The sequence below is a fragment of the Homo sapiens genome, chromosome 7 (genome assembly GCF_000001405.40).
Source record: "Homo sapiens chromosome 7, GRCh38.p14 Primary Assembly".
Classification (NCBI taxonomy): Eukaryota; Metazoa; Chordata; class Mammalia; order Primates; family Hominidae; genus Homo; species Homo sapiens.
In genome coordinates this window covers 55,909,419-55,926,444 of record NC_000007.14, presented here as the reverse complement: position 1 = coordinate 55,926,444, position 17,026 = coordinate 55,909,419, and the positions used below count along the sequence as shown (strand labels likewise).

The window sequence follows — 17,026 nt, the reverse complement described above, 5'->3', positions numbered from 1 at the left end:
AGACGGTTAGGCTGCCTGTCCCTGATAAGAGATGTGAAAAAAACCACTTGCTCAAGCTTATATGTGAACCAAGAGCCTTGGGCATCCACATATAGATGCACAATGAAATTTGGAAGTTTTCTTTTTATTTTTTTGGAGACAGAGTCTCGCTCTGTTGCCCAGGCTGGAGTGCAGTGGCACAATCTTGGCTCACTGCAACCTCTGCATCCCAGATTCAAACGATTTTCCTGCCTCCGCCTCCCGAGTAGCTGGGATTCCAGGCATCCGCCACCATGCCTGGCTAATTTTTGTATTTTTAGTAGAGATGGGGTTTCACCATGTTGGCCAGGCTTGAACTCCTGATCTCAAGTGATTGTCCACCTCAGCCTCCCAAAGTGCTGGGATTACAGCCATGAGCCACTGAGCCCGGTCAAAATCTGGAAGTTTTCCTAAATTAGCAGTTATTTTTTCGAGTTGGGGGTCTGTGTAGAGGGACACAATAGGAGATAGTGTGGGTCCTACAGATGGCAGCATAGGTGCCTGGGGGAAGGAATAGCTCTGCTCTCTGCTGTAGGTCCCTGCCCTGGAAATTTACCTGAAAAGGGAGTTCTCTAATTTGTTCCTTTAGTTTCCTACTCCCCAGGTTTGGGGATGTGGAAGGCTGTAGAAATATGTCCCAGCATTGTCAGGGAAGGTGCCCAGGCTTCTTGACAAAATGTCTTAATTACCAACTCTATTCATGGAATGTGAGCACTGGTTAGGTGAAAATTCTGGTTCAGTGAGGCTAAGAGATCTCAGTGAGGCTAAAACAGGAACAAGGTTTTCTTTTCTTCCCTTTTCTTTTTTGAGATGGAGTCTTGCTCTGTTGCCAGGCTGAAGTGCAGTGGTGCAATCTCGGCTCACTGCAACCTCTGCCTCCCAGGTTCAAGCGATTATCTTGCTTCAGCCTCCCAGGTAGCTAGGACTACAGGCGCACGTCACCACGCCTGGCTAATTTTTGTATTTTTAGTAGAGACAGGGTTTCACCATGTTGGCCAGGATGGTCTCGATCTCTTGACCTCGTGATCTGCCCGCCTCGGCCTCCCAAAGTGTTGAGATTACAGGCGTAAGCCACTGTGCCCGGCCAGGAACAAGGTTTTCTACCTAAGATCACTTAGAGCATTAAAAGCAAGAAGGATAGCCAAGTCAAAGTCAACTTGAAAAAGCCGAAGAGTTTGAATGACAGAAAACCAAGTCCAAACGATGAAGCCAGGTACCAGAGCAAAGAGCCAGAGTGGGAACTCACAGAGATGGGGTAGGTTCACCTGGTGTCATGGACCAGAGTAGAAACTACCTAACTCAGCATCTGGTGTACAGTCAGCAGTCCACTCCTTGTTAAAACAGCCAGGCAGAACATCGTAGGTGGTATGCCAGAAATAGGAAACTAAGGTGGTTGGGATTTTTTTTTTTTTTGGTCAAGAAATCCCATATTTAAGGGAATGCTTTAAAGAAGAGAGTATAAAGCCAACAGATCCAGGTTTTGAAATATTTAAGTAAAATGACAGCATGACACTAATAAACAAAAATATAATCTAAATTGTTTTTTTATTTTTGAGATGGAGTTTCGCTCTGTTACCCAGGCTGGAGTGCAGTGGCGCGATCTTGGCTCACTGCAACCTCCGCTCCCAGGTTTAAGCAATTCTCTTGCCTCAGCCTCCCAAGTAGCTGGGCCTACAGGCGAGTGCCAGCATGCCTGGCTAATTTTTTGTATTTTTAGTAGAGACTGGGTTTCACCATGTTGGCCAGGCTGGTCTCGTACTCCTGACCTCAGGTGATCCATCTGCCTCGGCCTCCTAAAGTGCTAGGATTACAGGCGTGAGCCACCATGACCAGCCATAATCTCAATTCTGACAGGAGAATGTGGGTGAAATACTGGGACTAGAAATGGAGAAATGGGAAAATGATACAGAAGGACTACTTAAAAGCACTTTACTGCAGAGTGGAACAGCCAGTCCATAGGGATACATATTTTTAGGAGAATAAGGAGAAAGAAAATGCAGGAAAGGGACAGAGGGAGATACAGAGAGAGGCTGGAAGGGACAAGAATCGTGTGCATCACAAGCCAGGGTGGAAGAACATTTCAAGAAGGGAAAGTCAACACAATCCTAACTGGCTTTGTAGCCACTGGATTTGACTGGAAGGAAATTAGTGGTAATCTCCAAGAAAACAATGTTAGTAGTAGAGGTAGGAATTGGGGACATATCACAAAGGAGAGCAAGAGAATTAGAAATTAGGCTGTGGGTTGTATACAAGTGTCAAGAGTTTGATGATAAAAGGAAAAAGAAAAGATGAAAAATAGATTAAAATGGCAGAAGATTTTTGATATGGAAAAGAAAGCTTTTTAAAAAATTTCTTCTCGGATCACCTCTCATGGAAAAGAAAGATTTAAAGAATACTGATAAGGGATGTGTAAATAAAAAATACAAAGAAAGTGCTGTGTGGATATCTGTAATATCAAGATATTTATGGGTGTTTAAATGGATACCTTCAAAATAACCTTTGGTTTGTGTGCATTTTTAAAACAATATAAGTGTATATTATCTGTTCAATGAGAAAAAATAAGACAGCCATTTCAAATTCAGAAAAATATAAAATATGAACTGATTTTTTTCAAAAGGCTTAGTATTCCTTATATCCCAGAGGGAGATTTTTGGAACACTCCACTGAGTGGTTCAGAAGTGGCTGTTTTCCCTCATTAAGTAGCAGTGCCCAAGAGTGTGCACTTACCTGGATGAGTATCCAGCAGGCTGTCTCTTTCTATCACCCATTCTTCCTCTAGCTCCAACTGCGCGATTACCTCTGGCTTACAAAGCTGATACCCTATTCACAGGAGTAACATACATCTTAGGAGTTTGTACTGGGAACAAAATTCTCAGACACACTCCCAACCTTTTCAATCTTTAGAGCCTCTGGAGGGGAGACTTCAGAGGCAGCAAAATAAAGCCACTCATCTCAAACTCAATCAAGACATTCCATTGGAGGAGAAAGAGCAGAAAACAAAGGTCTTTGACTCCAAAACTGATTAGCATTCTTCTATCCCAGCCCAAACTATATTCACAAAAACTTTGCAGGCTTCTACTAGTTCAGGAAATAAACCCACGTGAACGGCTTCCGGTTTCACAGGGATGCCATCCTCACCCAGTGCAACTAGATTCCTGTAGTTCTCCAGCATCACGTCTCGATAGAGGTTCTTTTGGGCAGGGTACAGCTGGTCCCACTCCTCTCTGGTGAAGTCCACGGCCACATCCTGAAACGTCAGTGATTCCTGAAACATCAAGCACATCCCTGCTCAGGCAAAAACGGTTCTTACAGGGACCCTCAAGGGAGGGAATGAAAGTGTAGCACCAGGTTATCTAAGCCATTGTGCTGATAGTCTTCAGGACTCTGAGTTGTTCAGGTCAAACTTTTCTTTTAAAAAAATTAGTACCTTTCTATCATCTTTCAAGACAAAAACATACATGAAATAATTTCTGCGTTTAAGTGTTTACAGTTTGCTGCACGGGAAAAATGACTCTCATTTCATCCAAATGATTAAAAAACTACAAGGACACCTCAGAGATATTGTGGGTTCAGTTCAGACACCACAATAATATTGCAATAAAGTGAGTCACATGAATTTGTTGGTTTCCCAGTGCCTATAAAAGTTAAATTTACTCTATATTTGGTCTATTAAGTGTGTAATGGCATTACATCTAAATAAATAATGTGCATACCTTAATTTAAAACATTCAATTGCTAAAAAATGGTAATGATCATCTGAGCCTTCAGCAAGTTGTAATCTTTTTGATAGTGGAGGGTCTTGCCTTGATGCTGATGGCTGCTGACTGATCAGGGAGGTGGTTGCTGAAGGTTGGGGTGGCTGTGGCAACTTCTTTTTTTTTTTTTTTTTGAGACAGAGTCTCACTCTGTTGCCCAGGCTGGAGTGCAGTGCCGCAATCTCGGCTCACTGCAACCTCCGCTTCCCAGGTTCAAGCAATTGTCCTGCCTCAGCCTCCTGAGTAGCTGGGACTACAGGTGTGCACCACTACGCCCAGCTATATATTTTTGGTGGAGACAGGGTTTCACCATGTTGGTTGACCAGGATGGTCTCAATCTCTTGACCTTATGATCTGCCCGCCTCAGCCTCCCAAAGTGCTGGGATTACAGGCGTTAAGCCACTGTGCCCGGCCAAGGCAACTTCTTAATATAAGACAGCAATAAGGCCAGGCGTGGTGGCTCATGCCTATAATCCCAACACTTTGGGAGGCCGAGGTGGGTGGATCACTTAAGGTCAGGAGTTTGAGACCAGCCTGGCCAACATGGTGAAACCCCGTCTCTACTGAAAATACAAAAAAATAGCCAGGCATGGTGGCACGTGCCTGTAATCCCAGCTACTCAGGAGCCTGAGGCAGAAGAATTGCTTGAACCCGGGAGGTGGAGGTTGTAACGAGCCAAGACTGCACCACTGCACTTCAGCCTGGGCGACACAGCGAGACTCTGTTTCAAACAAACAAACAAACAAACAAAAGACAGCAATAAAGTTTGCTGCACTGAATCTTCATTTTACGGAAGAGTTCTCTGTAGCATGTGATGCTGTTTTATAGCATTTTTACCACAGTAGAACTTCTTTCAAAATTGGAGTCAGTCTTTTCAAATCCTCCTGCTGCTTTATCTAATAAGTTTATGGAATATTCTAAATCCACTATTGTCATTTCCACATTATTCAAAGCATCTTCACCAGGAACTGATTCCATCTCAAGAAACCACTTTTTTTCCTCATCCTTAAGCAGCAATTCCACCACATCTTCAGGCTGCACTTCTAATTCTAGTTCTCTTGCTATTTCCACCATGCCTGCAGTTTGTTCCTCCACAGAAATCTTGAAAGCCTCAGTCATTCATGAGGGTTGGAATCAACTTCTTCCAAACTCTTGTTAATGTTGATATTTGACCTCCTCTCACGAACCACAAATGTTCTTAATGGCATCGGAATGGTGATTTTTTTCCAGGAGGCTTTCAATTTACATTGGCCAGATCCATCAGAGGAATCACTATCTACGGCAGCTAGAGCCTTATGAAATGCATGTCTTAAATAATAAGACTTGAAAGTCAAAATTACTCCTTGATCCGTGGGCTGCAGAATGGTTGTTGTGTTAGTGGGCACGAAAACAGCATTAGTCTTCTTGTACATCTCCATCAGAGCTCCTGGGTAACCAGGTGCATTGTCAATGAGCAGTAATTTTTAAAGGGATTTTTTTTTTTTCCTGAGCAGTGGTTCTTAACAGTGGGTTTAAAATATTCAGTAAACCATGCGTAAACAGGTATGCTGTCATGCAGGCTTTGTTGATCCATTTCTAGCGCACAGGCAAAGTAGACTTAGCATAATTCTTAAGGAACCTTGGATTTCTAGAATAATATGAACATTGGCTCCAGCTTAAAGTCACCAGGTGCATTATCCCTTAACAAAAGAAGTCAGCCTGTCTTCTGAAGCCATGAGTTGACTTCTTCTAGCTATTAAAGTCCTAGATTGGGTTGGGCATGGTGGCTCACGCCTGTAATCCCAGCACTTTGGGAGGCACAGGCAGGAGGATCACTTGAGGTCAGGAGCTCGAGACCAGCCTGGCCAACATGGTGAAACCCCGTCTCTACTAATAAAAATAAATAAATAAATAAATAAATAAATAAATAAATAAAGTCCTAGATGGCATCTTCTTCCAATATAAGGCTGTTTCATCTGCACTGAAAATGTGTTTAGTACAGTCACCTTCATCAGTGATCCTAGCTAGGTCTTCTGGATAACTTGCCGCAGCTACTATATCAGCATTTGCTGCTTCACTTAGCACTTTTATGTTATCGAGACAGCTTCTTTCCTTAAACCTCTTATAGCTTCCAACTTTTCTTCTGCAGCTTCCTCACCTCTTTCAGCCTTCAGAGAATTGAAGAGAGGTAGGTAGGGCCTTGCTCTGGATTAGGCTTTGGCTTAAGGGAATGTTGTGGCTGGTTTGATCTTCTATCCAATCCATTAAAACTTTCTCCATATCTGCAACACAGCTGTTTTGCTTTCTTATCATTCATGTGTTCACTGGAGTAGCAATTTTAATTTTCTTCAATAGCTTTTCCTTTGTACACATGACTTGGCTGTTTGGCCCAAGAGGCCAAGCTTTTGGCCTATTTCAAATGCATTCGACATGCTCTTCTCATTTAATCTTAATCAGTTTCAAAGCATCTTCACCAGGAGTAGATTCCATCTCAAGAAACCACTTTCTTTGCTCATCCATGAGTGGCAAAAAATCCCTGGTTCCTTTTAGTGAAGAATGTGACTCTTCCTTTCACTTGAATGCTCAGAGGCCATTGTAGGGTTATTACTTGGCCTAATTTCAATATTGCTGTGTCTCAGCAAATAGGGAAGCCGGGGGAGAGGGAGATGGAGGAACAGCCAGATGGTGGAGCAGTCAGAACACACAACATTTATCAATTAAGGTTGCTGTTTTACATGAGTGCTGTTCATAGCATGTATACCCTTGTAACAAACTTGCACGTTCTGTACACATACCCCAGAACTTGAAGTATAATAAAAAAAAAAATACACTTGAGGTAGAGAGTAGGAGAGAACACACAGAAGGATCTTCTGGGATACTGGTAATGTTCTGTTTCTTGATCTGGATGAAGATTGCACGAATGAATTCATTTGGTGATTAATTGAGCTTTTAACATTTATAGTATGTGTATTTTTGTATGTTCCTTTACTTCAATAAAAAGTGTAAAAAAATTTAAAAAATTAGCCAGGTGTGGTGGCACATGCCTGTAGTCCCAGCTACTCGGGAGGCTGGGGCAGGAGAATTGCTTGAACCCGGGAGGTGGAGGTTGCAGTGAGCCAGGATCGTGCCACTGCACTCTAGCCTAGGCAACAGAGCAAGACTTCATCTCAAAAAAAAAAAAAAAAAAAAAAAAAAAAAAAAACTGGAGTGTTTACCAATTTATCCAGCTACACTACAATACAAATGCCACACCCATAAATCTCTTTGAGATCAGCCATTCTCTCCTTTGGGTTCCCTGTGAGACTGCATTGGCACATCACCTTAACCATTCTTAGAAACCTTGCGTTTAAGAGAGGACAGGTCCTCTGAGGCATTGCCCTGGATCCTTCTGAAGTTGTTACACAGCATATTATAGTCCACCCTGGGTTAGATCTTTGGTGTGAATCCCTTTCTGAATTTGGTTATCATTTGCTGCTTGGACAGATGTGAATGAGAAAGTTTTCTTTTCAAACTCAGGAATTCATTGTTCACTTATATTTAACAGTTCTTCAGTTAGTTTATCTTTTTCCCTCACATTTTACTTTAGGCAGCCAGAAACTGCCAGTTGGCACTTTCAATTTTCTACTTGAGAATCTCTTTAGTAGATCGTTGAGTTCATTAAATATATTCTCTATTTTCCTTTTTTTTTTTCTTTCTTTTGAGGCAGAATTTCTCTCTGTCACCCAGGCTGGAGTGCAGTGGTGCAATCTGGGCTCACTGCAACCTCCGCCTCCCGGGTTCAGGCGATTCTCCTGTCTCAGCCTCTTGAGTACCTGGGATTACGGGCGCAAACCACCATGCCCTGGCTAATTTTTGTATTTTTAGTAGAGACGAGGTTTCACCGTGTTGGCCAGGCTAGTCTCAAACTCCTGACCTCGAGTGAGGCCTTGGCCTCCCAAAGTGCTGGGATTACAGGCATTAGCCACCATGCCTGGCCTCTATTTTCCTTGTTACTGAAGGTAACAATGTTATCCAACATTTCTTCTTCGAGGGTCCTCTATCCTCCAGCTTCTAATAACATTCTCCTTACTATCCTTTGAGTTTTGACAAAGGCCCTTTAGTTTTCCATTAACTCGCCTTGAGGCCCTTTATTATTTCACTCGTTTTCTATCTTATCCCCAGTGCTCAGTTCCAAAGTCAGTGCCCTGTGGTTTAGGTTTCTGTTTTTGCAACACTCCACTTTCAGGTACTAAAATCCCTAACAATTATCTTGCTGCATAACAAACCATCCCAAAACTTGGGGGATTAAAATAGCAAGTATCATTTACTTTGCTCATAAATCTGCAATTTGGGCAGGACTAGGTGGGAAGGTTTGACTGGGGATTGGAGGATTCACTTTCAAGATGGCTTACTCACAAGGCTGGCAAATTGGTACTGGCTTTCAGCTGGGAGCTCGGCTAGGGCTGTGGGCCTTGGCTCCTCTCCATATGGGCTTCTCCATGGGCTGTCTGGGTTTCCTCCTGACAAGGTGGTCGGGTTTAGAGTAAGCATCCCAACAGAATGAGGTAGAAGTCTTACTGCCATTTATGATCTGCCTTGAAAGTCACAAAGCTTTGCATCCTCCAGTCACAGCCTTGCCGAGATCCAATGGAGAGCACACAGATCTCCACATCTATAATGGGATGAGTGTCAAAGTCACTTGCAAGAAAGCATTTGGGATGGGAGGTATTTTGGCCATTTTTCTGAAAATGCAATCTGTCACATTCACACCAGCAGTGTAAGAGTGTCTGTTTCCCCACAGCTTTGCCAACAGAATATGTTATACTTGTGGAAAATATCAAACTCATGGCAAATATCAAGCTTGGTGATAAAATATCCAGCTTTCTCTAGTTTTAACACAAATTTCCTCTTGTTTGCAGTACAGATGAACACTTTTCCTGTGTTTAAGATCCATTTGAACTTTATTTGCTGTGAACTGTCTTTAAAATTTTTTTTCTTTTTTTTTTTTTGAGACAGGGTCTCACTCTGTCACCCAGGCTGGAGTGCAGTGGTGCAAACATGGCTTACTGCAATCTTCACCTTCTGGGCTCAAGTGATCCTCTGACCTCAGCCTACTGTATAGCTGGGACTACAGGTGCACACCACCACTAGTCCCCCAGCTAATTTTTGTATTTTTGGTAGAGATGAAGTTGCACCAAGTTGGTCACACTTGTCTCAAACTCCTGACCTCAAGTGATCAGCCTGCCTCAGCCTCCCAAAGTGCTGGGATTACAGGCATGAGCCACTGTCCCTGGCCTTTTGTACCTTTTTCTGTTGGACTCCTAATCTCTTGCTGATTTAGAGAAGTATTTTATATATTAGAAAGATGAGACCACTGTAATTCGAGTGGCAAAATATTTTTTTCAACTTGACATGTCTTTTTACTTTGCTTATAGTTTGTTGTTTTTTTTTTTCCATGCAGATGCTTTTGGTGTTTTTTGTTTGTTTGTTTGTTTGTTTTGAGGCAGAGTCTTGCTCTGTCGCCCAGGCTGGAGTGCAGTGGCGCAATCTCGGCTCACTGCAAGCTCCGCCTCCCGGGTTCACGCCATTCTCCTGCCTCAGCCTCCCAAGAAGCTGGGACTACAGGCGCCCACCACTATGCCTGGCTAATTTTTTATATTTTTAGTAGAGACGGGGTTTCACCGTGTTAGCCAGGATGGTCTCAATCTCCTGACCTTGTGATCTGCCCACCTAGGCCTCCCAAAGTGCTGGGATTACAGGTGTGAGCCACTGCGCCCGGCCGCTTTTGGTGTTTTTAATGAGTTGAACCCATCAATCACTGTGATTAGAAAGTTTTTCTTTGGTGAAAGTTATAAAGGAATTCTCCCATTTTTTTCTTGCATAACTTTTTGTGGTTTCATTTTTCATATTTAAATATTTGATCCATTTGAAGACTATTCTGATGTGAAGTATGAGGTACAGATCCAACTTTATCTTTTTCCAGATGGTTTCCCAGAAATCCCAACATCAATTATTGAACAAAGCAGCTTTTTATCACTGGTTTGAGATGTTACCTTTATCATATGCTAAATTCCCCATGTGTTTAATGAATGGTTATTCAGTGCTTCCTATATATATGCCAGGCATGGTGCTTGGGATGTACCAGTGAATAAAAGAGACAAAAACTCCCTGCCTTTATGAAGCTTATATTCTAGGAAAGAAAGTAGACAACAAACAGCATAACTGGGTAAATTATATAGTATGTCAGAAGATAAAAGTAAAGTAGTGTAAGGGTTCAAGAATATGGGTGTGGGGCAGTTACAAATTTAAATAGCGTGGTCAGGAAAGATGGCACTGGAGAGGTGACATTTGAGAAAGAAGCTTGACAGGTTAACAGTGCAAAGGCCCCAGGGCCATGTTTAAGGAAGAAGAATGAGGCCAGGATGGCTAGAATGGAATAAGGGGAAGAAAAGTAAATGATGAAATTCGACAGGTAACAGGCCAGATTCTATAGGACTGTTTAGGCCATCTTAAGGACTTTGGGTTTTACTCTGAGTGAAATGGGAGCCATGCGCTTTGAGCAGAGGAATGACATGATCTGATTTACCATTACCAATAGTGCCATTTCCTGGGTTCCACTCTTTGAAGTCATCTTTTTTCTTCCTTTGCTTTTACCCCTTAGCTAATCTCTGCTGTTTCCAAAGGAAAGCACTCAAATCTCCCTCCTTTCCTCCAATGACTAGTTTTATGCTATTTTCTATCACTGAGAATGCTACAGTAGCTTAACTGGTTTTTCTCCTTTCAACCTCTGCCTCTCACAAATTCAGTTAGTATATAGCACCAGGATGATTTTTAATGTAGAATTGGATTACTTATTATGTTATCTTTCTGCTTAAATTCCCCCAAAGGCTTTCCACTGCACTCAGAGTAAAAGTCAGACCTGTTTTCATGGCCACAGGCTTTGTGTATTTAAGACCTGCTCACTTCTCCAAGCTCACTTCAAGTCATTCTCTCCCTCCTTCCACACCAACCACAGTGGTCTTCTTTTAATTTCTCAAATATACCCGTGATTTTTGCAGATGATTTTTAGCACATGTCCAAAATGCTCTTTTCCACTTACTTTTCGTAGGTTCTACTTATCTTTTCTTTCTCATCTTAAATTTCACTTCCCCACAGTTTCTCCCTGATTCCCTAATGTGTATTCATAGCACCCTGTTTTCATTTTGTTTAAAACACATCTCTTTTGCAATTTATTAGTATAGTTGCTAAATGTCTTTCAATAAGCTCCTTGGGTTTGGGGTCATGTCTATTTTTCTCAGTGATGTCTAGCTGATAAAAAGCATAATTTTTGTCACATATGAAATGACCAGTAGACCATAAGAAGAAAAAAGGAAAAGAAAAAAAACTTGTCACATACTAGCTACTCAAAAAATATTTATTGAGTGAATGAATCATCTTCCTTCTAAACATAATAAATGGTTCCAGAAAATTAAAACTAACTCCTTGGGCTAGAATGTGGAAAAGCAGACATGCCACTTATTTCTAGATGTCTTTCTATTCCTGTCTTTGGGGAGTCTTACAGTTAATTAAGAATAAACCAAATGGGCCAGGTGCGGCGGCTCACGCCTATAATCCCAATACTTTGGGAGGCTGATGGGGGCGGACTAGCCTGGCCAACATGGTGAAACCCCGTCTCTACTAAAAATACAAAAATTAGCTGGGCGTGGTGGCGCATGCCTGTAGTCCCAGCTACTTGGGAGGCTGAGGCAGGAGAATCACTTGAACCCGGGAGGCGGAGGTTGTAGTGAGCCGAGATTGTGCCACTGCACTCCAGCCTGGGTGACACAGTAAGTCTCTGTCTCAAAAAAAATAAAATAAAATAAAATAAACCAAATGAATCTATCCCTTGAAACCCAAAGATCCCAAAGCACTAATATACACCAAATAAAAGCTCAGCTCTAGCTGACAGTCTCCTTATTGTCCCTGCTCTTGCTCAAGTTTTATTTCCTGTCTGCAATGGTCCCCCGTTTTCTCTAATCTCCAAACCCTACCTGCTGGTATCAACACAAATTCAAACTCTGCCTTTTTCATGAAGTCTTCCCTCATCCCTACAGTCTCAATCAGACTTCTCCCTTCTCCCAGCACCTGTTGTATTTGTTGTCTTTTGCATTCACAGCAGCATCCAACATTATGCATTTCTGAATATTAGTTGTGTGATGTGGATTTTAACAAGCCCCCCACGCTGTGTGTGGTGGCTCACACCTGCAATCCCAGCACTTCGGCAGGGAGAGGTGGGAGGATGGCTTGAGCCCAGGAGTTTGAGAACAGCTTGGGCAACATAGTGAAACCTTGTCTCTACAAAAAACAAAAAACAAACCAAAAAAATCCCCTTCAATGAGTTTATTGGCTACATAAGGATAATGATTATCACATATAATTGGAATGATAGAAATCCTATCTGAAGCAATTGAGACCGGTATCTGATGTGTTAAGCAAAAAAGATGGCTAAACTAGCGATCCATAAAAGAGATCTTAAATATTTTATTTTAATTTAAAATATATAAATGTGCATTCATTTTCTCATCTTTGGAAATAAAGCTAAGCCTCTTTTTTTTTTTTTTTTTGAGATGGAGTCTCGCTCTGTTGCCCAGGCTGGAGTGCAGTGGCACGATCTTGGCTTACTGCAACCTCTGCCTACCAGGTTCAAGTGGTTCTCCTGCCTTAGCCTCCCGAGTAGCTGGGACTACAGGAACCTGCCACCACGCCTGGCTAATTTTTGTATTTTTAGTAGAGACAGGGTTTCACCATATTAGTCAAGCTGGTCTTGGAACTCCTGACCTTGTGATCTGCCCACCTCAGCCTCCCAAAGTGCTGGGATTACAGGCATGAGCCCCTGCACTCAGCCAGCTAAGCCTTTTCTATGAGTGATTTTAAAGAATGGGTGCTCATACCTATAATGCAACAGTTTCTGTTTCATGAAGCAGTTTCACAAGTCAATTACACAAGCAACTGACACGTGGCAAATATTTGTGGAGGAATCCTGAGAGTTTTATGATTTTTCTTCAGTGAGGTAGTATTGCTAACACCTAATTTGATAGCAATTTTTAAAAAGTGACAGCATTTATCAACTCCTTCCAAAGCATTCGACTAGTTTTCATAGAAACAACTCTTGTTGCATTCATACTCACCAGTTTACATAATACCGAATCAGATTATAGAATCGTAACAGACTTAGGCCGGGCGTGGTGGCTCACACCTGTAATCCCAGCACTTTGGGAGGCTGAGGTGGGTGCATCACGAGGACAGAAGATCGAGACCATCCTGGCTAACTCAGTGAAAGCTCATCTCTACTAAAAATACAAAAAATTGGCCGGGCGTGGTGGTGGGCACCTGTAGTCTCAGCTACTCGGGAGGCTGAGGCAGGAGAATCACTTGAACCCAGGAGGCGGAGGTTGCAGTGAACCGAGATCGTGCCACTGCACTCCAGCCTGGGCAACAGAGCGAGACTTTGTCTCAAAAAAAAAAAAAAAAAAAAAAAAGGAATCAAAACAGATTTAAACAGGTTTTGGAAGAGATACAACAGATGCTTGGGAAACATTAATTTGTGATAGATGTTACCCTCAGGCATTCTTATTAATCCCATTAGCTCCAAGCAGTCCTAGGGGCCTCGGCATCAGTCACTGTGTTTACACAGAGAATGCAAGCATTGTTTAAATTTTACTGAGCTATTTAAGGACGATTAAAAGACAGTCCATTGTTTTGTTTTCTTCACAGCGTCCAGAACAGGCAGGAATCCATGAAATTGAGTCTGGTGAAAATGCTGGAAGGAGGGAAGAGCTAGAAAGAGCTACATAGGTGAATGGAAAACATGCTGTGGAGAGTATATCATCTGTCACATGAATCTCCTGGGCTCTGGATTTTTGTGACTCAGCACTTCTGAGAAATGAAAAAGTAAAAGTGCCCACATTCTGAGAACACTGGCATTTCAGAGGAGAGGAAAACTGAACTTACCTGAGATCTCACCATCTGTGAGCCATCATTCATTTCTTCCTCCTCCATGTTCCCCTCCTGAGAAAAAACAGCATTCTGAGAAGGCATAACTAGGAAAAAGAGAAGCATCTTGTTAATATATGACACGAAGGTTAAATTTAAATCCTGGAGATTCTGCTTTGTGTAGGTATGGCAGACAGTACTGAGAAGCCCTCTAAGACATAAGCCTAAAGGTTGTGACGTCTCTACTCTTCTATGATGTTCAGGAGTTCGGGAATTCAATGCAGAACTGTCTGTCTTCGGGGGTGCAACTCCCCTTGTTGTGGCATAGGGGAGCTCAGGGGCTTTCAGCCCTGGCTAAATACTGATGGCAATTTAAAAAGAAGCCAGTGTTCAGCCCCTACACTCAGAGATTTGGATTTAATTGATCTGGCATGGGTCTGAGCAACAGCATTTTAAATTGTAAAGTCTCCAAGTGACTCTAAGTGTAGATGAGAACTACTGGGATGAGGCGATGGAGAGCACATGGGTGAGGGTCCATTCTTACTCTTTATCCCCACAAGGAATGAATTCACCCCAAAGTGAATACTCCAGAGATCTGCCTCTCCTCTCCCCTAAGGTGATCCTTCCAATATGCAAAGGAGATGTCACTATTCTGATTTTTCCAAGTGTTTACCTTCCTTTTTGAGTCTCTCGATTCAGTCTTCCACTGGGATTACACCTCTCTGCAGTTCTTATGTTGTAATGTCGCCAAAGCTCTGCTATCTTCTACATGAAAGTCAGCAGATGCACCAGGACCAGCAGCTTAAGGAGCTGGGGCTGCTCTTGAAAGTTGATGTCCAGTACCTTATGGGCAACAGTCACTCCCCTGGTACTAAAGGTGCCCCATCTCTGATTAGAGCCTCAGGAGCCAATGGATAGCCACAAGAATAATTTCTGCTTCCAGGGGCGGCCACTCTCAGAATCTTGCCTTGTTTATGCCGAGTTGAGATGAAGGGGCTCTTGAAGGTTGTTATTACCTTTTTTTTTCCTCCCTAAAAGCATCATTTCTTCATGTACAGACTTCACTATAGTATTCAAATCTGCATCCTGGCAAGGATCTTGTAAGATAGAATTTTAGGTTGAAGACCTGTAATGAGATGCACCAGGGTCAGCAGAAGAAATCCAGCAGTCTCAGCCACCTAGGGGCTTACAGAGTCTGTAAGGAGACATACAAACTATTCTTCACACAGACAGAGCACAGTAAGGTGTGGCATTCTTGAATCAAAAAGCACTTTTAGAATTTCTCAGATTCACACATTACAAAAGGCAGAGGTGTACATGTGTCAATAACAACAAATTCAGCCTCAGTCCTTTTCTTACCTTTTCCAGAACAGAGAACACATGCTCTCTGCCTCGAGAAACAATGACTGTTTTCTTTAGAAAGATGGAAAAACACATGTTTCAACAACAAAGTAAGATTGTATTATTATTTGCTAATAATCATGAAGGAATACATCTTTTTCTGTTCACAAAGGTTGACCTGAGAAATCTATTTTAAAATGTGAGTGATGGAAATAAAGAAAGAAGCCATTCTGAGGAGCAATTTTTTAAAAGAGAAAACTGCAGTTCCAGTGAAATGGTCCTGTGAGATAAGGCAGCCATTCCAAGCATGGCAGGAATCTAACATTTCAAAAGTCCTTCATTAACAGTCAGACCTTTCAGGAGTGATTTAAAAACACTTTAAGAAATAGGTTCTTCATTCCCTAAGCATAAGCTTGGAAGAAGCCCCACAGTCAGGAGAAGCAGACGGGTTTTTCCCCAAGATGGGCAACTAGAGATGGCAGAGCCAGTTGTCTGCAGAAAGAACCAAGGTTACAGGTGAGAATGACCGTGGCTGGAGGGGAAGGCTGAGGGAAGAGTACTGGAACCTGTCACAGAACCCATGGGTAGAAGCTGGGGCGCAGTGGAGCCAGGCACGGTGGCTCATGCCTGTAATCCCAGCACTTTGGGAGGCTGAGGCAGGCAGATCACGTGAGGCCAGGAGTTTGAGACCAGCTAGGGCAACATGATGAGGCCCTGTCTCTACAAAAAATACAAAAATTAGCTGGGTGTGGTGGCTTGTGCCTGTAGTCCCAACTACTTGGGAGGCTGAGGTGGGAGGATCGCTTCAGCCTGGGAGGCAGAGGTTGCAGTGAGCCAAGATCACACCACTGCACTGAAGCCTGGGTGACAGAGTAAGACCCTGTCTTAAAAAACAAAAACAAAACCAAAAAACCCTCAACAAACCAAGCATCAAAGGAATATACCTCAAAATAATAAAAGCCATATATGACAAACCCACAGCCAACATCATATCGAATGGGGAAAAGTTGAAAGCATTCCCCTAAGAACTACAACAAGACAAGGATGCACACTCTCACCACTACTATTCAACATAGTACCAGAAGTCCTGGCCACAGCAATCAGGCAAGAGAAAGAAATAAAGGATATTCACACTGGAAAACAGTAAGTCAAATGATCTCTGTTTGCTAATGACATGATCTTATACCTAGAAAACCCCAAAGATTTGATAAATGACTTCAGTAAAAGTTTCAAGATACAAATTAGTGTACAGTGGCTCATGCCTATAATCCCAGCATTTTGGGAGGCTGAGGTGGGAGGATAGCTTGAGCCTGCGAGTTCAAGACCAGCTTGGGCAACATGATGACACCCTGTCTCTTAAAAAAATACATATATATATATACACACACACACACACATAAACGTATATACACACACACACACACACACATAAACGTATATATACACACACATATATATACACACATACATATATTCAAAAATAAGAAAAAAAGTAAAAGAATCAGTAATATTTCAATATACTTTTAACGTTCAAGCTGAGAACCAAACCAAGGCAAATCCCATTTACAATAGCATTCCCATTTACAAAAGGCAATCCCATTTACAATAGCCACACAAAATTACCTAGGAATACATTTAACCAAAGATGTGAAAGATCTCTATAAGGAGAATTACAAAACACTGATGAAAGAAATGGTAGATGACACAAACAAATGAAAAAACATCCTATGCTCATGGATTTGAAGAATCAATATCATTAAAATGGCCATACTGTTCAAAGCAATCCACAGATTCAGCACAATTCCTATCAAATTACCAATGTCATTTTTCACAGAATTAGAAACAACAATCCTAAAATTCCTAGGGAACCAAAAAAGAGCCTGAATAACCAAAGCAATCCTAAGCAAAAAGAACAAAGCTGGAGGCATCACATTATGTGACTTCAAATTATACTAAAAGGCTACAGGAAACAAAGTAGCATG

General features: G+C 42.1%; 1 protein-coding gene across 2 annotated transcripts in view, besides 1 other annotated feature; it reads right to left on the bottom strand.

Annotated features, from left to right (window-relative positions):
* Window positions 1-17,026, bottom strand: part of ZNF713 (zinc finger protein 713) — a 54,770-nt gene that overhangs the window by 15,781 nt on the left and 21,963 nt on the right. Inside the window, exons 3-6 of one of the 2 annotated variants that reach the window (NM_182633.3) lie at window positions 14,377-14,829; window positions 13,722-13,810; window positions 3,157-3,283; window positions 2,746-2,838 (exon numbers count right to left, since the gene is read on the bottom strand). In NM_182633.3, coding sequence (NP_872439.2) covers window positions 2,746-2,838; window positions 3,157-3,283; window positions 13,722-13,808 — 307 coding nt within the window. In that variant the 5' untranslated portion in view covers window positions 13,809-13,810; window positions 14,377-14,829. The remainder of the gene's footprint in view (window positions 1-2,745; window positions 2,839-3,156; window positions 3,284-13,721; window positions 13,811-14,376; window positions 14,830-17,026) is intronic. The other variant, NM_001366796.2, reaches the window with a different exon arrangement.
* Window positions 13,427-14,626: an enhancer, noted in NCBI's record as "BRD4-independent group 4 enhancer chr7:55979512-55980711 (GRCh37/hg19 assembly coordinates)". NCBI's record gives its function as "activates an origin of replication core promoter dependent on BRD2, P300/CBP, MED14 and CDK7 cofactors, and independent of BRD4, by STARR-seq in HCT116 cells {active_cell/tissue: HCT116}" and the evidence as "EXISTENCE:reporter gene assay evidence [ECO:0000049][PMID:35650434]".